General features: G+C 36.7%; 1 protein-coding gene across 15 annotated transcripts in view; it reads left to right on the top strand.

Moving 5' to 3' along the window:
• FBXW7 (F-box and WD repeat domain containing 7) overlaps window positions 1-27,063 on the top strand; it is a 215,549-nt gene that overhangs the window by 105,808 nt on the left and 82,678 nt on the right. For 9 of the 15 annotated variants that reach the window (XM_047415900.1, XM_047415902.1, NM_001349798.2 and 6 more), the window contains 2 exons: window positions 17,756-17,805; window positions 18,413-18,982. The exons of 1 other annotated variant lie outside the window; for it this stretch is intronic. In XM_047415900.1, the coding sequence (XP_047271856.1) occupies window positions 18,482-18,982 (501 nt within the window). In that variant the 5' untranslated portion in view covers window positions 17,756-17,805; window positions 18,413-18,481. Of the gene's footprint in view, window positions 1-17,755; window positions 17,806-18,412; window positions 19,126-27,063 lie in introns of those variants that run through there. 5 more of the 15 variants (XM_011532085.3, XM_011532084.3, XM_011532087.3 and 2 more) reach the window with 2 other exon arrangements.

Below are 27,063 nucleotides of genomic sequence, written 5' to 3'. Positions count from 1 at the left end.
GTTGTACATTTAACCTAAAACTAAGAGAAAGCATTGTTGGTTGGCCACAACTTGAATTTCTTATTACAATGAGGACTGCTTCAGGATTTTACCACTAAACTCAGCCGTTCAGAGAACTAGGAAGATAGTAACCATGGTCACTGTTCTTCAAAAGCACTGATTTCAGATTTGTTGAAGGGATATTTCTTAGATCTTCAAGTTTCTGAAAAGGTTTCCTTCATTCTGGTTTTCTGGATTTCCTTGTCATTCTGAAGTTATTCCTCTTGCACAGGCAAAATTAGAGTACTCATTCAATAACAACAACAACAACAACAACAAAGCCATAAAATATGCCTTCTTTTTTCTACAACACCAATTTAGCTACTCAAGATACAGAACTAAAATATTAGCAGAAAATCTTGTAGGTATGAAGCCAGTTATGTATTCACATTAGTAAAGATGATTCCACTGCATTCATTTAATCAGCAAACATTTACAGAATGCCTACTACATACCAACAATATATTAGTGACTGCATATTCATTTAATCCCGAACTCTGAAATCATTATTCCTGGTTTACAAAATAGGAAACAGGCTTGGATTAAGGTTGCTTGCCCAAAGATTTATAGTTAGTAAGATTCACTACCAAGTTTGAAACTCAGATATGTCTGAGCCAAAATTTCTGCTCCTTCCACTAAGCCAAGCTGTCTTCCAGCATGGCTTCCAGCATACTTAGTATCTTGCTGTATCAAGAGAAAACAAGGTACAGGTGACAGTGACGTGATGCCATTATGACTATCTCTTTTTATATAAAAAGACCCTTGTTGAGATAACTACAACTCTCTCTTTCTCAGACCTCCTACACATTGCTTTTCCTTCAATCATCAGGGTCATGAGCCTTCTCCCCTCTCCTCCCCCGCCGCCCCCCACCACCCAACTTCCCCCTAACAAAGTAAAAGAAATCAAATGAGATTTGATTAAAGTGTTTTGTCTAGACTGCTTCAGGACTAAAGGGTCTTGGTAATTTGTACCAGCACCTCACTTCTTCCCCACGCCCAAAAACTCACGTACACAGTTTGATTGTTCTTGCTTTCTAAAGTGTTCTCTTTTTTTTGAGATGGAGTTTCGCTCTTGTTGCCCATGCTGGAGTGCAATGACCCGATCTCGGCTCAACACAACCTCCGCCTCCCAGGTTCAAGTGATTCTCCTGCCTCGGCCTCCCAAGTAGCTGGGATTATAGGCATGTGTCACCATGCCCAGCTAATTTTTGTATTTTTAGTAGAGACGGAGTTTCTCCATGTTGGTTAGGCTGGTCTCAAACTCCCTACCTCAGGTGATCCACCCGCCTTGGCCTCCCAAAGTGCTGGGATTACAGGCATGAGCCCGGCCAAAGTGTTCTGAAAGCTATGTGTGAATCTGTTAAGTACAATCTATACTTACATTTGATTATAAATATTTTGACGATCTGAATTGGTAAGATTTTAGGCAAAACAACAAAATCAAATCCCGTGGACTCTGACCCAAAGAATATATTCAGCTTTGTTTGAATATATTTCATCTTGCTTCCTTACCAATTCTCAACACAACTCCAGAATAACTGTTATTAACTCTTATTGAATCTTATTTTGTACTAAGCCTTGTTAAATGTTTTACCTATGAATTGTGATTTCATTGTTACAGCAAACCTATGATATAGATGCTATATAACAGATGAAGAAATGAGGTTCAGAACCTGTGCTACGCTGCCTCGCAGGCACAATCCATCTGATAAAAGTAGTCCCTTGAATCTCTCTTTCTGAATTCCAGTCCCAGGACAGTGGAAATACACAGTATTGTGGTCAAAGATAAACCATTCTTGGCTCCAGGTGAGCTAATGGTTTTAGATAAGAATAAAGAATATTTATTAGAAATAAAAAATTTTGTAAGTATAAAATTAGACTAGGAAAAAGCTCCCGGTTGAATTTTATATTTATAAAATCCTTTACTGAAGTTGAAATCTTCTCCTTGAAATTTCTGCTTGGTATGGCCTCTCTGTTTGCCTCACAAGTGAAATTTAATCCTAATGTTACCTTATTTTCCAAGCATAACCACACCAGTAGGCTGCTTTGTCATGAGTTTAGTATGGTGTCAGTAGAAACGAGACCAGCAGTCATTAGGGTTACCTAATTCAAATCTTGACTCATTTTGGGTACTTCCTACAAGATTAGAATAATTATCTTCCAAACCAAAAACATACCCAAGGTTCCATGGGAAAGGGTGTAGCTTCAACTCTTTTTAGGTGGCAAGAAAATCATTCTCTAACCTCTCAAAGGTCAGGAATAGGGTCGATGGTCCTTAAAATTTGGTCTGGGGACCACTGGTTGCTGAACCTTTTGCAGGAGGTCTGAAAGGTCAGACCTGTTTTCACAATACATGTTAAGAAGTTAATGGCTTTTTTGTTGTCATTCTTTTCCAAGTGTATTTGATTATACAACTTGGGATGATGTTCCTCTGATAGTTAATGCAATTATACTTATGTTTTAAAAGTTTGTTAGTTTTGATTTCTAATACAGTAAGTCTCAACAGATAGAACTCACATAACAAAACACTTTTGGGAGTCCTTCATAATTTTTAAGAGTGTAAAGGAGGTTCTAAGACCAAAAGGTGTGGAAACTGCTCTTCTAGGTTTCAGAATTATGAAGCATACAAAGACTCTTCATCTGGAAGGGTTTAGAGGTAATTTTATCTAATCCCCTTATTTTACAGGTTTAGAAACTGATTCTAGACATTTAAGTTCCCAGACTAATGTCACAGAAGCTAATGAATTGCAGAGGTTAATTGGAAGCCTGGTCTTAACACTCCCAGGTTATCTTAATGAGTTCATGAGGATGGCATATGGATAATGCACTTCAAAGGGTGTTGTAAGTATTAACTAAGTTAATACAGGTCAAATGCATATATTAGCACTCAATGCACGGCCATTGATCAATAAATGCTAGTGGTTCTGATCAGTGAGAATCTAACCTCTGCTTAAATACCTTTAGTCATCAGCAGCTTCCACTCCCTGAGTAACATGTTGCATTTCTTGATCAATTATATTTTTACAGAATTCTTCCTTTACTGAAGTTGAAATCGTCTCCTTGAAATTTCTACTTGGTATGGCCTCTCTGTTTGCTACACAAATAAATTTAATCCTAATTTTATCTAGCTTATTTTCCAAGCATAACCACACCAATTTCATTAAATGATTCCTCATGTGGCATGACTTTAAACTCCGTCACCATCCTATTTGTTTTTCTCAAAGAGCTCCAGTTGACTGCTCCTGTGAAATTGTCCATCTATTAATGTAAATGTTTTTTCTAATTTTACAGAGCTCCCCGTTGTATTGTGTACAGTGTTAAAATAGTTTTCTGAGATTTCTTGACTCTGTTTTCCCAAGTTTCTTGTGGCCCTTCTCTTTCCTTCGTCTCTATTCTGTGCGGTTTTTATTTCACTCCCACAGTTTCTCATTGCTGTGAGGCCCTGTTATGGAATGAGAGCCCTGGTTTTGAAAGTTCACAGAGGCTAGACTTCTCTTGTCCCTGTAGTCCTGGCTGAGGGCCCACTACACTTGTCTGTTATCCGAGTGGGCAAACGACCTACCCGTTTTCATCTGCTGGGCGGCCGGTTATTTGGGGGGATCCCCCTGTTACAGGTCTGATCTCTGTTGCTTCCTTTGGGAGGCCGAGGCGGGCGGATCACCAGGTCAGGAGTTTGAGACCAGCCTGACCAATATGGTGACACTCCTGTCTCTACTAAAAATGCAAAAACTAGCTGGGCATGGTGACGTGCGCCTGTAGTCCCAGCTACTCTGGAGGCTGAGGCAGAAGAATCGCTTGAACCCGGGAGGCGGAGGCTACAGTGAGTCGAGATTGTGCCACTGCACTCCAGCCTGGGCAACAGAGCGAGACTGTTTAAAAAAAAAAAAAAAAAGTTTGTAGCCATTATCTCTGGAAATATTTACTCTTCCTCATTCTTCTGCTTATCTCTTTCTGGAACTCCAACTAGATATATACTAGACCTTTGATTCTATTTTTCCACACCTCTTAACCTGTCTAGCTTATTTAGTCATACATCTCTCAAGCTGCATTCTTCCTTGGAGCTTTATCTGTAGGAATTCTTTGAGCCTTGATTGAGTTTATATTGCTTCAGAGAAAACTAAGGTTTGCTTCAGCTAGTTGCCCAGGAACATTACCACCTGGTTACCACTTTTAATTAAGGTCACTGCTTGAGGATTTCAGAGCGACACAGAGCCCTGTATGAGGGCCTGTTTATGGTTATAAATTCTTGGGGTGTAGGCAGGGGTGGGGATCCTGCTTCTTTACCTGGAGCTAAAACTGAGACAGAAAAATCCCTGACTGTCCATTTTTGTGTGGTGGGTTTATTTTCTGTTCACCCTGAACAATGATAGGTGTTCACCTTGTAGAGCTCCCCGCTTTATGTGGGGGTTTCCTATTAGAGAACTATCATATGTGGCCTGTTGGCTTATTTTCTTGCCTTCAGCACCTGTGCCAGTACATAAGTTAGAAACCCAAGGTTTCCAGGTTTCGAAAAACTCTCAGGGCAAAAGTTCGTTTTAGCCTATGCTTAGCTCCCAGGGTCCTTTGTACTTGGCCATATGGATTTCTTTTTTTTTTTTTCTTCATGTCAACACTGTGGTTATATTTATCTGTCTAACCTACTCTTTTAATTTTTGTTTTATCTGGTATTTTAATTGTTTCATTTGAGAAAGTTTTTCATAGTATCTGTTTGGTAGTTGGCCATTCTACTAGGAGTTTAGGAGTTATACTTAACTCCTTCCAGGGAGATGTTGGAAGATTTTTACTAAAAATACAATATTTAAGGTGGGTATTGAAGTACTATCAGAGGGGACCTGGGGTGGAGTATGAAAACAAAACAAAACCTTACAAACGGGAATAATTAAGAGTTAGGATATGTGAGATGTTTGGTTTTGCTGGGCTTAAAATAGAATTGTGGGGTATGGAATTGCTGCAAATGAGGAAGATGGACTCAGAGATGAGGCTCAAGAGAGGCCACATGCAACTTTTGAGAGTCTTTGTGTGTCACAGTAAGGAAGATGAACTTGTGAAATCACCAAAGGGTGGAATATATAAGGAGGAAGCTGACACTGTCATATCTATGCCTTAGGATGTTTATTTTGGCAGCAGTGAAAACAAATCAGGTAGACAAGAGTGGAGCATTGCTCTTCAAAATTTAGTCATTGACTGGCAGTAATGGCATCATCTGGGAGCTTGTTAGAAATGCAGAATCTCGGGTCCTATTTCAGATTTACCAACTCAGAATCTGCATTTTAACAAGACTCCTAAGTGTTTCATATGCATAGTCAGTTGATGTCTCAACCAGTGACCTGCAGAGCCAGTGATCTGCAAAGCAAGTGAACGTTAGCTTTATTTTAAATTTCAAGAAAGAAGTCTTAATTTGCCTAGAGTACATATCATTTGATGTTCACAGTGTCACTTTATTTGCCTAATAACTAGCTGACTCTAGATCCTTAGCAGCATTAGATTTAGTATTTGAGGTTTTGACCCTATGTACCTTTGATAAGTAGTGATTTGTAACTTATGAATTAAATTTGAATTCCTTAACATGTTGCTAGTTACAAAACTCTAGTGTCTCTAGCAGACTATTAAGAAATTGAGCAGGTTTCGTTCTCCATTCACTGTTAACACATGCGGTAACTCACCAGGCGCTTAAAACAAGTGGGCTGTGGTGCAGGGTACTTCTTGTTTAGTGACAGAAATGAAAAGATCTAAGAATATGATGGTTTTAAATAAATATGATAAGAGATGAAGAGAGTTTTAAGTAATAGAACTATTCTAAGTTTTGGATGTTTGGTTTAGTGTCTCTAGCTATATTTCTGTTTAATGTCAAGGCATAATATATTCGAACCATTTTATTTATTAAATTTAATAAACATTGATTGTCCTATTAGTCAAAGTTTCAGAAAAATGCAAAAAGTCTTGTTCTCAAAGGAATGCTCCCTGGACCATGCACATCAAAGTCGTGGGTGGCTGCTTGTGGGGGTAGAAAATATTAAAAATGCAGAAACTGGGCCCTACTGCCGAATCCCAATGTACATTTTAAAATAAGCAGCTTCCTGGCCAGGTACGGTGGCTTTCACCTGTAATCCCAGTATTTTGGGAGGCTGAGGCAGGAGGATCACTTGAACTCAGGAGTTCAAGCCTGGGCAACATAGTGGGACCCCCATCTCTGCAAAAAATGGAAAAAAAGTAAAAGCATCTCCCAAGGAATTCTGCCAGCAGGAAAGTTGTGTTTTCCCCCCTCAAATCTGGAAACCATAATTGTTCACTTTTTGACCTTTTACTGGAATACAGCATACTCTGAGAAAAGTAACAACACTCAAATAAAAAAATAGAACATTCTATTCCAGAACCTCCTCTAGTGACTCCTTCTAGAAAGCAGTCTAGCACCCCACCCCTCCAAACACAAACATAACCACCATAGTGACTTTTAACACCATAGATTAGTTTTTCCTTTTTTGAACTCTTTAAAGTGGAATAATACAATTTATACTCTGTCTGTTTTGTGTTGTTTTTGCTTAGCATTATGTCTGTAAAATTTGTCTATATTGTTAGCTGCAGTTTGTCATTCTCATTCTCATTGCTGTGTGGTTCTCTGTTGTTTAAAAGTACCAGTGGTAAAATTATCATTTATGTGGTTTATCTCTGATGGACATTAGAGGTATGGTGGTACCACTGATAGGCACCAAAATCAAGTTTAATAACCACTGTTGTATATTATTTGGGAAAATGTGTACTCTTGACATGTTTGGCAAATTTTTATTTCTCCAATCTAAAATTTAGAAAATTATAATTTTAAAATTATCAATAAAAATTTACAAAGTTTTTACTGTCAAATATTATCTAATAGCTCAACTAGCTCATGCTAGAGTAATACAGCCATGTAATACAGCATTACCAACTTTTCTAAGTGGTCTATAGCACTGAGGAATTAAATAGCAAATAAGGGAAGCATTTCTTCATGAAATCATTTCTTTTAATAAATTAAAAAGAAATGAGAGTATTAGAATACCACCATTTTGCCACCTTCAGTGTATTAATGGATGGAGGCAATGAATATCAACAGCTGCTAAAATCATAAGAAGGAAACCAGATGCTAGATGACACATAATGAAGTAACACATTATTAGACAAAGGAACAAACCAAGTTCAATAAAGCCTCTGGATCCAGCTTCCAATTTGCCACAAATAAAGAGACCAGATGAATATGCTGAATTGCATTATGTGTAAATAATCAGTCAAATCTACACTACGAAAAGTCAGATCAAACATAAATTTTAAGAAAAAGAAAAGAATGGAAAATAAACCTGTAGATTAAAAGAGACTGAATAGAAGTAGCAACTCTTCTTAAAAATGGTCAAGATTAAATAATAGTTATCTAGGGAGGCTTACTTAGCTGATAAAGTGATAAATACAGGATGTAATTAAGAATAATTTAAAAGAAGTGAGTTACTTAGAGGAAGGGAAGGGGCTATGACTGAATCAGCACTTGGAGGAGCTTCTGGGCTCGCTGGCAAATTGCTGTGTGGTGGTCACAAGAATGTATTCTCTTAATATGCTAAGGTATAAAGTTTTTGTATAGTTTTCTGTATCTGTATTTTATTTTACTCTAAAGGAAGTAGTTTTTTAAAAAAGATTATAGATTTGCTAATCTAATATAAACTCCCCTAGAGCTTCATCAGTAATAGTCTAGTGTCATCTGGATTATCTTCAGCAATCATTTTCATTCTAAATTGTCATAGTGTCATCTCAAAGCAGAAAGAGACAGAGAGTTTGACAAAGTGTCTTAAAATGCCTGATGTCTGTCTTAATGATTCTAATAGAAACTCTTCAGTACAATACTCAGACTTACTGCGCTTACAACTACATAATGGCTTATAAATTTGGGAAACTCAACAGATTTGGGAATACAACACATATCTTGAAGCCAGTTAATTTACTTTTTACATACCTCTTCACTATTCCACTACCAGTGTGCAACTGGTAATTCAGTTGAATTCATAAAGAATTCACTGAGTTTTTCTGAATTTCTTCTGATTTCAAGAGGCTAGAAGAACTCAGATTATAAAGCATCAGGTTATCACTTTTACTATATAGGCACACCATGGTTTATTGCACTTTGCTTCTGATTTTTTTTTTAAACAAATTGAAGGGTTGGAGCAATCCTGTGTTGAGCAAGTCTCTTGGTGCCATTTTCCAGCAGCTCACTGTGTGTCTCTGTGTCCCATTTTGGTAATTCTGGCAATATTTCAATCTTTTTCATTATTATTATACCTATTATGGTTATCTATGATCAGCGATCTCTTTTATGTTACTATCATAATTGTTTGGGGATGCCATGAACCACACCCATAGAAGAATAAAAGATGGCAAACTTAATAAATGTTGTATGTATTCTGACCACTCCACCAACCAGCTGTTCCCATCTCTCTTTTCTCAGGCCTTTTTATTCCCTGAGACACAACATTGAAATTTTGCCAATTAATAACCCTACAGTGGCTTCTAAGTGTTCAAGTGAAAAGAAGAGTTGCATGTCTCTCATTTTAAATCAAAAGCTAGAAATGATTAGTGAAGAAGGCATGTTGAAAGCAGAGACAGGGCAAAAGCTAGGCCTTTTGTGCCAAACATCCAAGTTGTGAGTACAGAGGAAAAGTTCCTTTCTTTTTTTCACTTTTTCGTATGTTTAAAAAGTAGAGACAGGGTCTCGCTATGTTGATCAGGCTGTTCTTGAACTCCTGACCTCAAGCAGTCCTCCCACCTCGGCTTCCTCAAGTGCTGGGATTATAAGCATGAGCCACTACACCCAGCTGAAAAGTTCTTGAAGGAAATTAAAAGTGCTACTCTGGTGAACACATGAATTATAAGCAAAACAGCCTTATTGCTGATATGGAGAAAGTTTTAGTGTCTGGATAGAAGATCAAATCAACCATAACATTCCCTTAAACAAAAGCCTAATCCAGAGCAAGGCCCGAACTTACTTCAATTCTATGAAGGGTAAGAGGGGAGGAAGCTTCAGAAGAAAAGTTGGAAGCTAGCAGTTTGGTTCCTGAGGTTTAAGGAAATAAGCTGTCTCGATAACATGTAAGTACAAGGTAAAGTAGCAAGTGCTGATGGAGAAGCTGCTGCAGCATGTTATCTAGAATGTCTAGCTAAGATCACTGATGAAGGTGGCTACCCTAAAAGATTTTCAATGTAGATGAAACAGCACTCTATTGGAAGATGCCATCTAAGACTTTTCTAGCTGGATAGGGGAAGTCAGTACCTGGCTTCAAAACATCAAAGGACAGGCTGACTCTCTTGTTAGGGGCTAATGCTGCTGGTGACCTCAAGTGGAAGCCAGTGCTCATTGGTCATTCCGAAAATCACAGGGTCCTAAGAATTATGCTAAATCTACTCTGCCCATGCTCTGTAAATGGAACAGAGCCTGGATGACAGCACAGTTTGCTAGATATGTTAAGCCCACTCTTGAGTCCTACTGCTCTCAGTGAAAGATTCCTTTCAAAATATTACTGCTCACTGACAATGCACCTGGTAACCCAAGAACTCTGATGGAGATGTACAAGGAGATTCCTATTTTTTCATGCTTGATAAACATAATAACATCTATTGTGTAGCCCGTGGATCAAGGAGTCATTTCTACTTTCAAGTTTTATTATTTAAAAAATATATTTCTTAAGGCTGTAGCTGCCGCAGTGATTCCTGTGATGAATCTGGGCAAAGTAAACCAAAAACCTTCTGGGAAGGATTCACCATTCTAAGTACCATTGAGAACATTCGTGATTTATGGGAGGGGGTCAAAATATCAGCATTAATAAGAGTTGGGAAGAAATTGATTCTACCCCCATGGGCAACTTTGAAGGGCTCAAGACTACAGTGGAGGAAGTCACTGCAGTTGTGGTAGAAATAGCAAGAGAAGTAGAAGTAGAACTTGACACAGCGTGACAATTGCTGAAATCTCAAGATAAAATTTGAATGGCTGAGGTGTTGCTTTTTATTGATGAGCAAAGAAAGCTGTTTCTTGAGATGGAACCTACTCCTAGTGAAGAGGCTTTGAAAATTGTTGAAATATCAACAAAGGACTTAGAATATTACATAAAATTAGTTGACAAATTGATAAAGCAGCGGTGGTTTGGGAGGATTGCCTCCAATCTTGAAAGAAGATCTACAGTTAGGTAAAATGCTGTCACATAGCCTAGTGTCTTTCATGAAAGGAAGAGTCAATTGATGTGGCTAACTTTATTGTTGTCTTATTTTAAGAAATTGCCACAGCCATACTGATTAGTCAGCAGCCATCAATATCAAGATAAGACCCCCCACCGGCAAAAAAATTGGACTCACTGAAGTCTCAGTTGATCATTAGCATTTTTTTAAGCAGTATAGTCCTTTTAAATTAAGGTATGTACATTTTTTTTACACATAATGCTATTACACACTTAATAGTAGTGTAAATATAACTTTTATTGCACTGGGAAACCAAAACATTTTTTGTGACCTGCTGTATTGCAATATTACCTTTATTGCAGTGGTCTGGAATTGAACCTGCAGTTTTCTGAGGTGTAAGTATTGGTGAAATCATTAACCTCCTCCTCTGTGTGTGTGGTTTCTTCAACTCACAAAGGATAGCAGCCCCAGTGAAAGTCGTTACAGAAGGCAGATAAACTCCATTTTTTTTAAGACTTTGCCACTCTGTGTGTGTGTGTGTGTGTGTGTGTGTGTGTGTGTGTGTGTGTTTACCTTATCCTAGTGGGCCTTACCACACATTTCTATTATGTGAGATCCAAAAGTGATGTGGTATACACAAGAGTAATTTTCACCCCATTCTTAAAACTGAAAATGATGTTTAAATCACTTTTTCTTGGGGGAAAATTCAACCCCGTGGTAATTAAGCTTCACTTTTCCTGAAATTAATCTTTTTATAAATTTTATAAACTTATAAGAAATGTAATACATTTTGCTTAAGTAACTAGCATAAGCCAAAATGGCACTTCATTTTTCTTAGGCTCAGCAGATTTAATTTAATAAAGATTATAAATTGATTTTAATTAATGATGTTTACGAAATGAAAATTAATTGACAGTGTTGAATAGTAAAGCTGCTAAAACCATAAGCCAAAGCAATATGAATAAAAGTATAATTTAGACACAATTTTAAACCAGATTTTGAAAAACTTTACTCGGTGATATGGTCAGGCTCAATTGTATGCCTGCTAGTTAGATTACTTCTTGTATAGGCTGATATATGCATAAAATTATTATTTTTGAATTTTAAATAAAATTATATTTATCTCTTTAATGTGAATTTACCTCTTTAATGTAAAAATTATATTTGTTTTTTGTCCTTGTTTCTTACTGCACATATCAATTCCAGGTCAAGCATGAGATAAGCAAATCATGTTAATTTCATTTTCAACTGAAATAAGACTATTTCTGAGCTTATTCTTGTTTGCTGAATAAAAAAAGATTGTTCATATGTGCGAGAAATTGCTGCAGCATAATGTTCACTGTTTTTCTGTGAGTAGCAGGATAATCTTTTCTTCATAGAAATCTACATCTTGTCTGGGAAAGATTAGTAAAACTCATCTTTAATGTATGATAAAACTGCAGATCTTTTTCCTTTTTTCTCAAGTCAAATTTTCACAGTCAGAACATTCAGAAACAGGATCCCTTTTCCAGTTCTACACTTGTGTTCAAGTGAAGGAAAATCTGTTCAGTTTTTTTTCTGCAGCTCCTCCAGGTGATTTCCAGTAAGACTTGAGACTTGCTGATATCCTTCCTCACTCTCAAGCCCAAACAGCAATAGAAACATTTCAAGATTTTCTTTTGTAACATGTTTTTCAAAAGCTCATTTTCCTTTTACATCCAAGAATGTTGTCCTTTGAAATAAAGAAAACCCAACCATTTTCTTCACACCTTACAGAGACTGAAAAATAAGTACTACGTAGGCTAGTTTCTACAGCCATTAATGTTTAAGTATTCAACAGACTGTAGCCTACTGTTTTCTTTAAAGGACCCATTTCAGTTCAAATACCCTATTGAGAAGTTTTCCACTGCTAAGTGGATTTTGTGTGTGTGTGTGTGTGTGTGTGTGTGTGTGTGTGGTAAGAGCTGTTCTTTAAATGAGTGAAATGACCTTTGTTTAATGAAGTTAACCATTTTATAACATCTTTCAGATGTTAAAACATTTTGCCCCAAGAGCTTTTGATATCAGTACTCTTAACACAGATGTTTTTTGTGTTAGTTTGGGTCTTCTGAGACACAGATGTCAAGACAAGATTTGATGCGCAGGGAATCTCCCACCCCACCCTACTACCCTCCTATTGTCCTTTGGAGCAATCCCCATTCTAGTACTTCTGCCCTGCTTGGTAGCTTGCTGGGAGAAGCCCAGAGGCAGCAAGGCCAGGGGTGGTTGCCATGGATTCCAAGGTGCGATAGATGGAGGCTGTCAAGCAGTTCTGTTCCTCATAGCAGGTTAGGTTGAGGGGATATCTGAGTAGGGTACCACTGTGGCCACTGCACCCTCCTCTTCAGCCTTTGACATCTTTCCCTCATGTGGACACTCTTTACTGTGTTACGCACCCACAGGGATGTTGTCACTGTGTTCTGCCTTTGACCTACGGGGGCTTCTTTACTATATGGATTATTCCTCATGCTTCTTAGAGTCAAGCTTTGCCACCTTGCCCCCTTGTTGGTCTGCCTCTGTTCCTCCCCGCCGCCATCCCTCACTACAGAAAGGCTCTTTTCATTCTGCTTTGACTCCCAAATTTTGGACTACCTGCCTGCCACATACATACCTAACTTGCTTGGCTCCATCTAATAGCTTTTTGACTAAATTTTTGAGGAAAAGAAGGAAGAAGAGCCATCTGGGTTTCTTACATCTGCAACTAGCTAGAATATGATTCCATTCACTGAAATAGAGAAAATAATAGGAGGCTCTAAGAACAAATTTGGGCCTTACGTATGTGTGCATGTTGTGGGGAAATAGAAGTTTGGATGTTAAAATAATGAATTTGGTGTGACTTTGGGACACCTTCTTGAAATTAATAGGCTCAGTAGAGGAGTCTGACTGGAGATAATAGTATGGGGAGTCATTAGCTTCTGTGTGATAGTTGGAACCCTGACTTTCAACGAAACAACAAAGGAGGGAGGAGCTAGCGATGGAGCACAGTAACAGTGCTGCCTGAGGGATGCACTGAGGAATGTACCAAGGAAAATTAAGGGACAGGAGAGAGTTGTAAAGAGAGCTAGTGACCAACAGAATATAAAGATACAAAAATGGCAAAAGAGTCTTTGAGATTTAACAACCAGTTTAAAATTTAGTTATTATGGAGTAAGCCCATATCACACAGGTGGTGGCGTATCACACAGGGATTAAATTTAGCCAAAACAAAATATGTATTATAATTCAAATAACAAAAAATATATATTGTCATGTGGACTGAGGAATAGTCTTTTGCATCCTTTCCAGTAAAGATATATATGATTGACTAGTGAAGTCTATTTAAATTATTCAGTGTACATCCATAAAACTTTATCAATTACTTTCTGTGTATATGATGACACTTGCCAGTATTGCCCATTTTGTGCTGATTTTGTTAGTGTACATTACTAAGGAGCTTTTCATCAAATTTTGCAGTCCCTGAAAGATTTTCATCTTTAAAGTTACAAATGTGATTTCTCAGCTGCAGTATAGAATATATGGAACCAGAAATACTCAAAAAATAATTGTTTTCGAAGTATTAATCTTTTTAGTCACAGTTGTTTTTTTACATCCTGTGCTGAAAATAACAAGAAATTTGATACAGAGGGAAAAATGATTTATTATGACTTAGTAGACAATTTACAAATGTGTGTTAAGATATTAGGATATATGTCCTACCAGTTTCAAAAGTACTACAAGTGACTTGTTCAATACAGAGTACAACTTTAAAAAATGTATTTAAAGTAATTGACGTTGTGTTTGTGACCTGGCTCGAAGTTCTTTTTTGGTGAAGAGCATGCTTAGTACATGATTGTCTTTAAAAAGATCTGATAATTATTTACTCAGTAAATGTTTTGAGTGCCTTATGAGTCAGGCATTTTTGTGGGTGCTGGAGATAATAGTGATGAAAAACAAAAGTCCCTTTTCCTTATAGAACTTAAATTCTAGTGTGGGAAGGCAGATAGTACAGAAATAAATTGATGGATGGATAGATGGATAGGTAGGTATTTGCTATATAGCAGGTACTATTTTTGCTTTTATATAGTGCTGTGGAAATGAGTAAAGTCAGGACAAAGGAAAAGAGAAGGTGATGCTGGGGGGTATTATTTTAAGTTGGATGGTTAGGGAAAGTATCATTGAATAGGGGACATTTGAACAGAGTCCTCTATGAAGGAAGTAAAAGAAATAAAAAGAGGAATAGCTAGCACAAAGACTCTGAGGTTGCAGCACACTTTACCCCTCAAGAAAGAACGGTGACAGAAAGGGTGGAACAAAGTGAGAGAGTAGTAAAATATGAGTTCACAGTGGTGGGGATGTATGTAGATGATAGAAGGACCCAACAGGCAACCATAAAAGACATTGGCTTTTACTCTGAGTGAAATGGGAAGCTCTTAGTGGGTGTTGAGCAGTGGAGTAATAAGATAAAACTTATTTCATCATGCATTTCAGGTACTTACTCCTAATCATAGTAATTAATAAATTATTAATTTGGGGTATAGAAAGTTCATATATGAAGTGGAGGGTGTTGGCTCTTTTAAGAATTCAGTGAAAATCCTAAACTTCTTGCAGAAAGTGATTCCAAGCTTTGAGTTATTCTTCCTGATGATCAGTACAGTTGGTTTACTTTCTTGTTATCTTTGTCCTAAAGCTTCTTAAATCACTTTGTAGCTCAAGCCTAATGGATTATACCTGCCCATGTAAATTCTGAAAATGTTAATGTTGCCTAGTGATTCAGAGGCTTTAGTAATTTACTTAAACTACTTCTTGTTTTATTGGTATAAACTGTATTCCTCAGTGTCTACTATGATTTCAAAGTTAGTATTTGCCTTGGAATTTTTCTTTGAAGCTGGCAACTCTAGTTCAATATAAGACAGGCTCTCAGAGCTCCACTTATTTAACAACTGTATCTATGCCCACTTTTATTCCTCTAAGCATTCCTAGAATAAGCATTTCAAATGGTTTTGAATTATCAAAGGTCTTTTTGAAAAACAAGGTTATTGAGAAAATGTTTAAAAAGTTCATGAGAAAGTTGTCTAAAATACACCCCCCTCCCCCAAGGTAGGCCTGAAATGCCACTAAATCAACAAAGGATAGTCACTAAAAGTTACCCTGTATTTTCTAGGACTTGGGGAAAGTCATGGAGTAGCTGTGCTTTCTCTAAGTAACCTATTTTAAATTTTTTTGAAGAGCAAAATTATTATACCTCTTTTTCATCCAGAATGGAGCTGACTGTAGGCATCTTTTTAAAGTACCCATAGGTCAGGACCTCTCTGGACTTTCCACTACCTTGAAAGACACTGCCAGAAGAATGTTGTTCCCCACACTTAAAAAAGGAAAAGTAATGTTCTTTTCTCCAGCCATTATTTTATGCAAAGTCCAACTTTATTTTATCTGAGCTATCTGAACTTTCAATTTATTTGAAACATTTATTGATTAATATCTATAATGGAGCTTTTAATTTCTCTGATCATTTATCCTTTGTTAGGTTAGCAGAACTGTAACAACACAGTCACTTTCACAGCCACGAATGATACTTTTATAGTCATTTGTGGACATATACTGTGCAGAGTATCACAAAGTTTGAGCCACCTGACAAACTTATTTCCAGTTGAGATCTGCAGGGTGATGCTCTGCCTTCTTGTTGCAGCTCTCATACCATGAACAAGTGTCATTTTCATGGTCCATGAGGAAAAAGCATTTTCCTCATTTTGGTGCTTTTTGTTAGTGATTGTGCAGTTTAGAATGGCCCCCAAACATAGCCTGAAGTTCTGTTTAATGTTCCGAAGTGCAGGAAGGCTGTAATTTGCCTTAAAGATAAACTAATGTGTGTTAAAGAAACTTAATTCAGGCATTAGTTATAATGCTGTTGACCATGAGTTCGATGCTAATGAATCAATGTATATTAAAGATATATTTAGGCAGAAACACGCATAAAAAAGGTTATGCATTGATCAGTTGGCAACAGTGTTGTGACCAGAGGCTTGTGAGAACTGTATTTCCCCTAGGAGCAATGGCTCAGTATTTGTTAATTCAGTGGTTGCAGCAATTTTATAGAACACAATTACTGTGAATGGGAATCAACTGTATTTGATTAACGGTGGTGATTTATAGGGACTTTAGATACCAGAAATGTTTCATAATTCCCTTTCTCTGAAATCACTGTTTTAATATGTTTAAATGCATGCATGCAGAGTTGTGATGTTAAACATAATTTTACTGTGGGTTCTGGTCAAAAAAGATGAAATGTCATTGGTTAACTTGAAAGAGACATTATTCTAAACATTATCCTCCAGAAAATTGACATGTACAGGAAGCATATTGAATGCTCAGCAAATAATTTGTTTTAGAGTAATAATCTTTGAGTATTGTAGTGATTCGAGTTTTGGAAAAGAAGGCAGTATCAGTGTTAGAGAATAATATTCTTTCAGGATTTTATGTAGTTACTTTAAGGTGCATGAAAGGAGACTCAGTTGGGTGTTAAATTCTTGTCCCTGCTTTACTTGAAACTAGTAATCTTGAGAAATTTACTAAATCATTTTGAGCCTTGATTACCTTGCCTGCAAAGTGAGGAACATTTTCAATTTAAAATTCTATTTCTTTTATTAGTATTCTTCCTGACCTTGAATCATTTCTATTCCCATCATGTCCAGTTGCCAAGAAAACCATGCAACTTAATGTTGTTTGTTAGCCATCAGATTTTATTTTACTGAACTCAAGTTCAGTCACATCAGTTACCGATAAAATAATAAGTTCTATATTAATATTTGATATATCTTGACATTTTGTATTATGGTAGGAAGAAATAAAAGACCTTCCTCAAATTTTAGGATATGGGCTTCTGTTTGTTGATGTTTGTGTTTTATGATACACTGTTGTAAATCATACTAAAGGTTTTCTCTGAAAAAGACTAGAATTGACAATACTTCATTTGTTAGCAGTTTCAAGTTTTAGATCACGGGTGCATAATTTCTTGTGTGTGCACAACATGTTGGCATTTTATCTGACTTCAAAGATGTCCATATAGATACCAGCAAAGGATAAAATGTAAGAATGAATATCATGAAAAGATGCTGTATCAGATAAAATTCTAGAGCCTAGGTTAAAAAACATAAAGGCAAACATGCTTGATATATAAAAATTGAGAAATATGATAAAAAGAAGTAAGTTTAAAGCATCAGTAATACCACTGCCTAAGATGCAGTTTATTTTGAAATGTTGTCTTCTAGTCTTCATACAGTTTAAAAATCATACTATAATCACAATTTCCAGCATTTTCCCCTTAGCATAATATATTATAACATCCATGTTTTTAAAAATATTTTATGAACGTCATGTTTAGGGATTACACCATATATATCCCATCTCATAGATTCCTTTATATTGAACATTTGGATTTTTATTTACATTTTTATTTACATTTATTTTTATCTTTATTTTTTGCTTTCGTGGATAAACTGCAGTGAGCATCCTCTGTATAAATTTTTTTTTTCTGTTTTAGGATTACTTCCTTAGGATAGATTGCCAGAAGTGGAGTTACTGGGTCAGAGGGTATGAACTTATGAACTTTTTTTTTAAATAAATTTTTTGTTCATTTTCTGTCCAGTCATTTGTAAAAAAATTAAAATAATAATGATTATAATTGTTACCTGCTAGAAAACTGTGTCTGAAGGCAAGATTCTGTGATCAGAAAAGTTTGGGAAATACCCAGGGTAAAAAGCCTTTTAATCTGATTTACCTCAGCATTTCCCAAATTAACTGAACACTGAAAATTTTTTTTGATACACTTCTTAAAATTTTGTGGAAGTTTTATATAGGATATAGTCTATGAACTACTGATGTAAAATTAAAATTGTTTTATTTGCTTGAAATATTATGTTTTATTGGTCAAAGGAATTAAACTATAAATCTTCATGCTAAAAATTATTAAAAGGGATTAGTGTTGTTTACTATGGTTTTTGTGCATGTCTTTATAAAGTCTTATAACTTTTAAAATTGAAATGTTCTATATTGTTTACTAAAGAACATTTTAATGCCTTGGTGGCATCAATACTTTTTTGCAATCATTAATGATATTTAGAAAGTAGACATATAACATGAAAGTAGAACATAATATAGATTGTACAAATCTTGTTTTTTACCCTATTTTCCCCTGCAGAATGTGAAAACCTTTGCATCTTCTGATAGTCTAGCCAAGGTCCAAGAAGTAGCAAGCTGGCTTTTGGAAATGAATCAGGAACTGCTCTCTGTGGGCAGCAAAAGACGACGAACTGGAGGCTCTCTGAGAGGTAACCCTTCCTCAAGCCAGGTAGATGAAGAACAGATGAATCGTGTGGTAGAGGAGGAACAGCAACAGCAACTCAGACAACAAGAGGAGGAGCACACTGCAAGGAATGGTGAAGTTGTTGGAGTAGAACCTAGACCTGGAGGCCAAAATGATTCCCAGCAAGGACAGTTGGAAGAAAACAATAATAGATTTATTTCGGTAGATGAGGACTCCTCAGGAAACCAAGAAGAACAAGAGGAAGATGAAGAACATGCTGGTGAACAAGATGAGGAGGATGAGGAGGAGGAGGAGATGGACCAGGAGAGTGACGATTTTGATCAGTCTGATGATAGTAGCAGAGAAGATGAACATACACATACTAACAGTGTCACGAACTCCAGTAGTATTGTGGACCTGCCCGTTCACCAACTCTCCTCCCCATTCTATACAAAAACAACAAAAGTGAGTATATTCAATATATTGTTAACCTGAGAAACTTTACATATCTATTTTAATTGTAATGAAACTTTCCTCACAGTCTTTGTATTACTAAAAATTAATCTTAAGATGTGTAATAATAAAATGAACTAGTTTTTTGTCTTACAGAAGGTAATGGAAAGTATTACAAGTAGAAATACTGATAATGGGACAATCTGAGTACAAATGGAGGGAAAGTAATTGAGCCTATTACTATGAAAAATTATTAACATCAAATTTTCGTCTAAACCTTGCGTCCCGGGCAGGGATTAGTAGCTTGTGTGGGGTGTAGAGGTTTCGGGTGAAACATGATTTGTGTAAATCAAGTAATGAAGAAACTTTTTATTTACAAAATGCAGCTGCTAGAGTGGGCTATTCACAAGTGTCACTCTAAGGCATAAATTACTCAGAAGTTGCCTCAAATTAGTTCTAGTTATTTATCATTTGAGAATTAGAAATAATGAATATTCATGTAGAGTAGACTTACAAGTTAAACTATGTTTTGGAAAGGAACATTTTAACTTGAATATACTTGTTTTATAGACATTAACATAATGTCTGTGGTAGTTCATCCTCTTACTCCTACTTGCTTATTTCTTACATTTTACAGTGATTTTAGGCCATAAACAATATACAAACTGATTTAACATCGTATCGTTTAACCTAACTTGACTTGGAATGAAGTATCTTACACACTTGGATTAATAATAATTGAAATGCTAAATCATGTTTTACATCTGCTTGTAAAACCTTACTTTCTAAAATGTGTTTGGCCCTAATTTACCTAGCCTATCTGCAAGTCAGATTTTATTTAGCTGGCATGATCTAAGAAGGACGTGACATCAAGTAGTGATTTTTCATCCATTGTACCATCCCTGTCTCAAGATGTTGAAGCAGTAGCTTTGGATCTCAGCCAGATGGCTCTACCACTAACAACTATAGCACCACTTTGTTAAGGCTCAGACCTTTTATAGTGTCATTCCTCCCTTTTGCCCCCCTAGTCTTGATCATCTTCTTCAAGGTTGCTATATCAAAAGGGAGTTTTAACATCTCTTTTTTTCCTGAGGGTTCAGTTAGAGGAATAGGGGTTTAATACTTAAGGTCCAATTGCACTAACTTATTTCAGAAAGAGGTTCAATCAAAACTAAGCCTTGCGGAACAATGCAGAGTTATTGCTGATTTCTGCTACACTTTAAATTAAAAGCAAAAAAAGCTAGTTAGACAAAACATTATCTTTTTCCAAAAGGAAAAGTCATCCTTATATTCTGTAGGAAACCTTCCAGTTCACAAGTTTGACAGGTGCTTTATCTTTTCTTTACCTTCAAGATGTAAAATTTTGTGTATGATGATTACCTTTTTAAAAACGAAGTATACTGAATTTGTTAGTTTTTTTCTAGTGATTCTGAATCATGAATAACAATTATTGTCCTGTACATATAACAAGAATGGACTGGGCTCTAACCATAGAAGGAATACATGTGTGTATGCATTTATGTATATACACATGTACAGTATAGATGTGTGTATGCATTTATGTATATACACATGTACAGTATAGATGTGTGTATGCATTTATTATATAAGTGTGTATGTATAGTTTTTGATATATTGTTGATCATGAGATGATCTGCCTTCGTAAGTATGGCATGAAGAATACAAAGCTATTTGATTGCCAGGACAGTGATACCCTTCTACAAGTAAGATTTCAGTCTGAAATTTTTCTAAATGTTTTCCTTTTTGTCCATTCCTGAAACCCTTCTGCCAGAGTATTCCCAGAGCACTTTCAACAGCATTAAAAAAAGTCACTGAGTACTGCTTCACCTAAAAAGAAAATGTCAGTATTCTCCGTGTATACATGTTTTAATACAATAAATAGAAGCTCTCACTAGTTGAAGTACTTTATTTTGGAAGAGCTTTAAATTCTTGATCATTATAAAGTTAAGACACTTCTACAGATGTTACCCTAGACCATAGTTTCATTCAAGTCTTCTTTGACTTTTGAGAGTAGAGGCATAAGAAATGAAATCCCATTTTAAATGTTAACATAGGATTAGCTTTCTACAAATTTTACTCAGGATACCTTTCAAGTTTTATTTTTTGGCATTCTCATAAACAAACCCTGTGGACAGCTAGACTGAATTTTACCCATCATCCCTAAATATGCTGCATAAGCAAATATATTAATGAGAAAAAAAGATTTTTAATTCTTCCTTGCATTGCTTTATTCTTTGAAAGCATTCTGAAAACTGTCAACACTCTGAGGACAGTTTTTCCCCCCTTGTCACTAAAGGTTTGTTCTTTTGGGAGCCTTATGGCAAGCAATATATGTTAAAAATTCCATGTTGTCTTAATGTTAAAAGTCAAGGGAAGTGGTAGTCAAGAATTGCTATTTATTAAGCTCACACTGTTTGAAAGATCCTACTACAGATACATAAACAAAAGTTACAGAGAGGCCGAATGATCCACCCCAGATTACACTACGTGATGAGAGATTTTAATCCTGATTTGCCTAATAGCAAAAAACCCCTTTCTCTTTCCACATGCTATGCTGCCCCCTATGGTTGAATTTGACAAACATCACTGAACAAGATTTCCAACATAGTCAGAGACTCTGCCATGTGATGATTTTCTGATACTATGTCCCATTTGAAGTGATAAGAGCTACCCTATAGAAAGGACAGAGGGCTCAGTTAACTACTTTTCTTTGTGGCACTTAACAAAACATTATTGAAGATTTTACAGCTCAAGGCTAAAGTAATCAGGAACAAATGACGCTGTTAAAAAATTTTATAGAGGTCATACTCTCTTGAATCCATAAAACATGCTTTTAAAGCAGAGGTTGTGTGCTGGCTATTCCTCTAAATCTTGCTTCTCCAGATACAAATGTCTGTCTCTTCAGTTTTAACTCTCATTCTCAACATCCTTATCATATTTTTTTAAAAAAAGTTGTTTTCTGAAGATATGCCCAGCTCATATTGAAGAATCTTTGACATATTTTATGCAGAATATCAACTAATTTTCTACTAACATGAAAAACAAATGAGATGATTATTAGGCCAGATCTGGTATCCTGATCTTTTGATGAAGAGAAGTGTGTTTGAGCATTAATTTCTGATGCTTCCATATCTATCTTAGTGGCTTCCACCTGTTCTCTTCTCACATAACTTCCTTACCTCAAATTAGTCTATTTTTTTCCCATCTTGATTGTTAGATTCTTCCTAGTAATTAAATCGTTTTTATCCATTTGCCTCAAATAAGAAATAAATGTTTATCAAAAAATAAATATATATAAAAGATAGCCAGGTGTGGTGGCTCACACCTGTGATCCCAGCACTTTGAGAGGCTGAGGTGGGCAGATTGCTTGAGACCAGCCTGGGCAACATGGCAAAACCCTGTCTCTACAAAAAATACAAAAATTAGCTGAGTGTGATGGCATGCGCCTGTGGTTCCAGCTACTTTGGGGGCTGAGGTTGGAGGATCATTTGGGCCCAGGAGGTTGAGGCTGCAGTGATCTGGGCCACAGAGCAAGACCCTGTTTCAGAATAAATAAATAGAGGGTGGGGGGAGGTGTGGAGAAGCATCTAGTGTATTGGAGTTTAGAGGCGTAAGACCCTTTCTTGTCTATAAATTCTGAACAATAGAGGAATCAGGTAATAGGATCATTAACCAATCAGGGTATCTGGTCCGCCATTCTCCAACCACCTCCTAGGACCAGAGCTGCTGAGCAGCTTTGTAGGATAATGTGGCTAACATTGGAAATATAACAGGGCTCTAAGTTACACTCTGTTGTAGAGTTCTAGAGAATGATAGCTTCTTCAGAAAGTCCCTGGCCTAGTCTACCTGCAAGACAAGCAACTTAAGTTCAAAGTCTGTTTGGTATATACATGTCCAGAGAGCAAAAAATGCTATTTAAGGCAGTCATCTTGAATAACATCCACTAGTAAACATGGCCCAATGAATAGCCATGTCCCCTACCTTTGTGAAGGAGGAAAAATGAAACATTGACTCAGCCTAATTTAGCCCAATTTTAAACATGTGGGGAGGATAATGGAAATGGGAGAAATGGGGACAATGGGTGAGATGGGTTTTCCCCTAACATATTAGAGTGATAAGAACTTTTCACATCTGAGTTTGAATTCTGATTATACCACTTACTGTATAACCATGAGTATATAATCTCAGTGAACCTATTACTTTATCTGTAAAATAAAGACTCATGCCTACCTCTCAAGGTTTTTGTAAGGATTAAGTGAAATAATTTATGTAAAACAAGTAGCATAGTGCCTGGGACACTCAGATATTTTGCAGATATCGGCCTTGTGACCTCATTTTTTCCGTCTCCTGTGCCTTACCCCAAATCCCACAAAATAAACTTCATTCCCCGCAGCGGTTGTCAATCTCTATATATATGTTTTACAACCTTCAGCATTCAGTCATCATATCACCCTCTAGTGTAAAAAGTAGAGAAATAAATTCTTTTAAAAAGGTACATAGGAGGATTAGAAGAGTACTGTAATAAGCTAGGCCCATCTTCAATAAAAATAGACATAAATTTTGAAGTCGATGCTACCCACAGATCTCCCTAGTTGATAAAATATGTACCCTTTCCTTTCATTAGAATTTAAGTCAATTTCTCTAGACTTTCTTCTAATCTTTAACTAAAGCTTCTGTATATTTAAATGCTTTAATGAATCTTCCATATGGATGCCAAAATGAATTTTAGCTCATGGTTAATTTCTAATTAATGCCTGTTAATATAGTTTTAAATGTATTTGTTAATATTATTTTAAACAATAATAGCTCTAAATGTTGGTGATAAACTGTATCTCATTCACTGCAGGTAATGACAGTTACTATTATTAATTATTTAAGAGACGGGGCCTTGCTGTGTTTCCCAGGCTGTCCTTGAACCCCTGGGCATAAGAGATCCTCCTGTGTAGCTGGGACTACAGGCGTGGACCACCGTGCCCAGCTCAAAAAGTATTTTAATTATGAGGTTTCATTGTAGACTAAAGAATAATCTTCACACCAAATGGACCATTTTAAAATTGTTTTATAGCATTCCATTGATTAGTTCTTTATACAGATGATAAACTTCACTGAAGTATACACAAATATCACAAATAGTTATCTTCAAAATGCTTCCAAAGAAAATTGTTTCATATGTGTATTATAATGATCTGATCCATTTTTAATGTTGTTTTTGTTGGTGGTAGGGAAGACAGTATGAAGAAAAAGGACATAGGAATAGATCATGATGAATATTGTTTTCACTTTGGTAGTTAACTCCAAAATTATTTCTCAAGCTCCGATCATTCACCTTAGCCATAGTTTTGCATTTCTAGCTGTCTGTTGGGCATCATCATCTGAGTGGTCCACTGAAAACTAAAAGTACTGTTTCTTTCTCCAAACCAAGTTTTTATTTGCCTCCCCAGGTTATCTTTTCCCTCTCAATAGGTCCCATCTTCTGGTCAGTGGATAGAAAAGTGGCTTGACTTTTTCTTATCATCTGAGTCTGGGCCTGCTGAATAATTTAACAGACTTGATCACTTAGTCTCTCTTTTTCTTACCCGCCAGGCAATTGTAAGATAAAAATTGGAGGGTCAGTGTTTAAAAACGTTAAGAGCATTTTTGCTTGGGCTTCTGTTTGCATCAGGCTATAACGCCACGTCCTTGACAATGAGTTGGCAGTATGAATAATTGGATGAGTTTTTTAAAATGAATTTTTAGCTCTGTATAGATAATAACCTCAATACAGATATCTGGTGCCCCATTTCCCACTGATAAAGCCAAACCTAAATGAGAATGTTTGAAGTCTTCCAATATCTTACCATAGTTTTTACCTGGTTTCATCTCCTCTCCTCTCTACTTGTTTTGAATCATACTCCTTCCCACCAGCCATATCCTTCAAATCGAAGTCCAAATCCCCTATCTTAATACCTTCCTAGATTTAGAAAATCGAATTCCTTTCAACCTGTTCTTGCTTCTCTTCATGGTGCAGTTCATTTGGTATTACCTGGTGACATTTTTGGTAAGCTTTGTCTTAAGTTGACATATAATTCTTCACTTTTTTGAGCAGTAGAAATTTGGTAAATTTGTTTTCAGTCCTAATTCAGTTTGAGAATTGAAGACTGGCAAACTGTAATGTGAACAGTTGTCATTTCACCTCTTTTTTTTTTTTTTTTTTTTTTTAAGACAAGGTCTTGCTTTGTTGCCCAGGCTGGATGGAGTGCAGTGGCATAATCATGGCTCACTGCAGCCTCCACCTCCCAGGCTTAAGCAATTCTCCCACCTCAGCCTCCCGAGTAACTGGGACCACTCGTGGCACCACCACGCTTGGCTAATTTTTGAATTATCTGTAAAGACAAGGTCTTACTATGTTGCCCACCCTGGTCTCAAACTCCTGAGCTCTGGTGATCTTCCTGCCTGGGCCTCCCAAAGTGCTGGGATTACAGGTATGAGCCACCATGCCCCAGCCTCATTTCACCTCTTAAGATGTACCTAAGCTAGACTAGAAATTGTAAATGGGCACGTCATTAAAATTGAGTTTAAGACTCAGGTATTCAGTATATGTACAGATCGTTAAATTGAGACTGCCCTGAGGAGAAGTTAAAAATCCCACTTTAGGAATCATTTTGCTAACATGCAGAAATCAGTTGAAGGCAATTCATACAGCCATTAAACATCACATTTGAAAGAATATTTAATAACAGGAAATGCTTAAAAATATTTTATTTAAAATATAGGATTCAAAACTCTATACAGTGTGATCTTAATTATGAAGCAAACATACATTTTTATATATGTGTGTGTGTATGTATCTACATATATACATATGCAAAGAAAAAGATCAGAAGAAGTTGTACCAAATGTTAGGAATTATCTCTGAATGTGGTTGAATAAAAGGTTATTTTTTCTTAAATACATTTTATAATTTCTCCATTTTGTTATAACAAGCATATATGCCTCTTTATTTGAAAAATAACTCTCTGCTGGAAACCAATTATTATTCTATGTGGTCTTTTTTGATGACTTTACATGGTGTATAATGCTCCTAATGGAGGATTGGATAAAAAGATGTTCCTCACAGGAAATGTCATTATATCATGATCTCTGCATGAGAATGCAGCTGAATATAGTGGAAACCTTCCCCTATTCCCAACCCCCCATTTCATAGTGGAAAGAGCACAGAACTCTTTAAGTCCTAGTGTAACTGATTCTTCACATCTCTAGGGCTCAGGTGTTACCCTGGCAATTTTCTAAGATCAACTTAACACGTTATTAGAAGAGTAATAGCATAGTAGTATCCGTTCTTGTTTTGAAGATATTTATTGTTTTCTTTGAAGAGTTCTTTAGCCTTGATAGCACTTTTGGCTCTCTCTAAACATGAATATTTTTCATATAAAAACCGTTCTCCGAGCAATTTCAGAGTCTGTTTTTGAAAATGGGTGTCCCCAACCCCCAGGCCATGGACCAGTCTGTGGCCTGTTAGGAACTGGGCCTCACAGCAGGAGGCGGGCGGTAGGTGAGTGAGCATTACCGCCTGTGCTCCGCCTCCTGTCAGATCAGCTGTGGCATTAGATTCTAATAGGAGCACGAACCCTATTGTGAACTGTGCTTGCGAGAGATCTAGGTTGTATGCTCCTTCCGAGAGTCTAATGCGTGGTGAGCTGAGGTGGAACAGTTTCATCCCAAACCATCCCCCCACTTCCCCTGTCCATGGAAAAATTGTCTTTCATGAAACCTGTCTCTGGTGCCAAAAAGGTTGGTGACTACCGTTTTAAAACACAATTCTTTTTTTTTTTTTTTTGAGATGAAGTCTGGCTCTGTTGCCCAGGCTGGAGTGCAGTGGTGCAATCTCAGCTCACTGCAGCCTCCACCTCCCAGGTTCAAGCGATTATCCTGCCTCAGCCTCCTGAGTAGCTGGGATTACAGGTGTTTGCCACCACGTCCAGCTAATTTTTGTATTTTTAGTAGAGACAGGGTTTCACCATGTTGGCCAGGCTGGCCTCGAACTCCTGACCTCAAGTGATCCACCTGCCTTGGCCTCTCAAAGTGCTGGGATT

Source organism: Homo sapiens, chromosome 4 (assembly GCF_000001405.40).
Source record: "Homo sapiens chromosome 4, GRCh38.p14 Primary Assembly".
NCBI lineage: Eukaryota > Metazoa > Chordata > Mammalia > Primates > Hominidae > Homo > Homo sapiens.
Note: the sequence above shows the minus strand (reverse complement) of the source record. Positions and strands in the feature narration are given on the sequence as shown.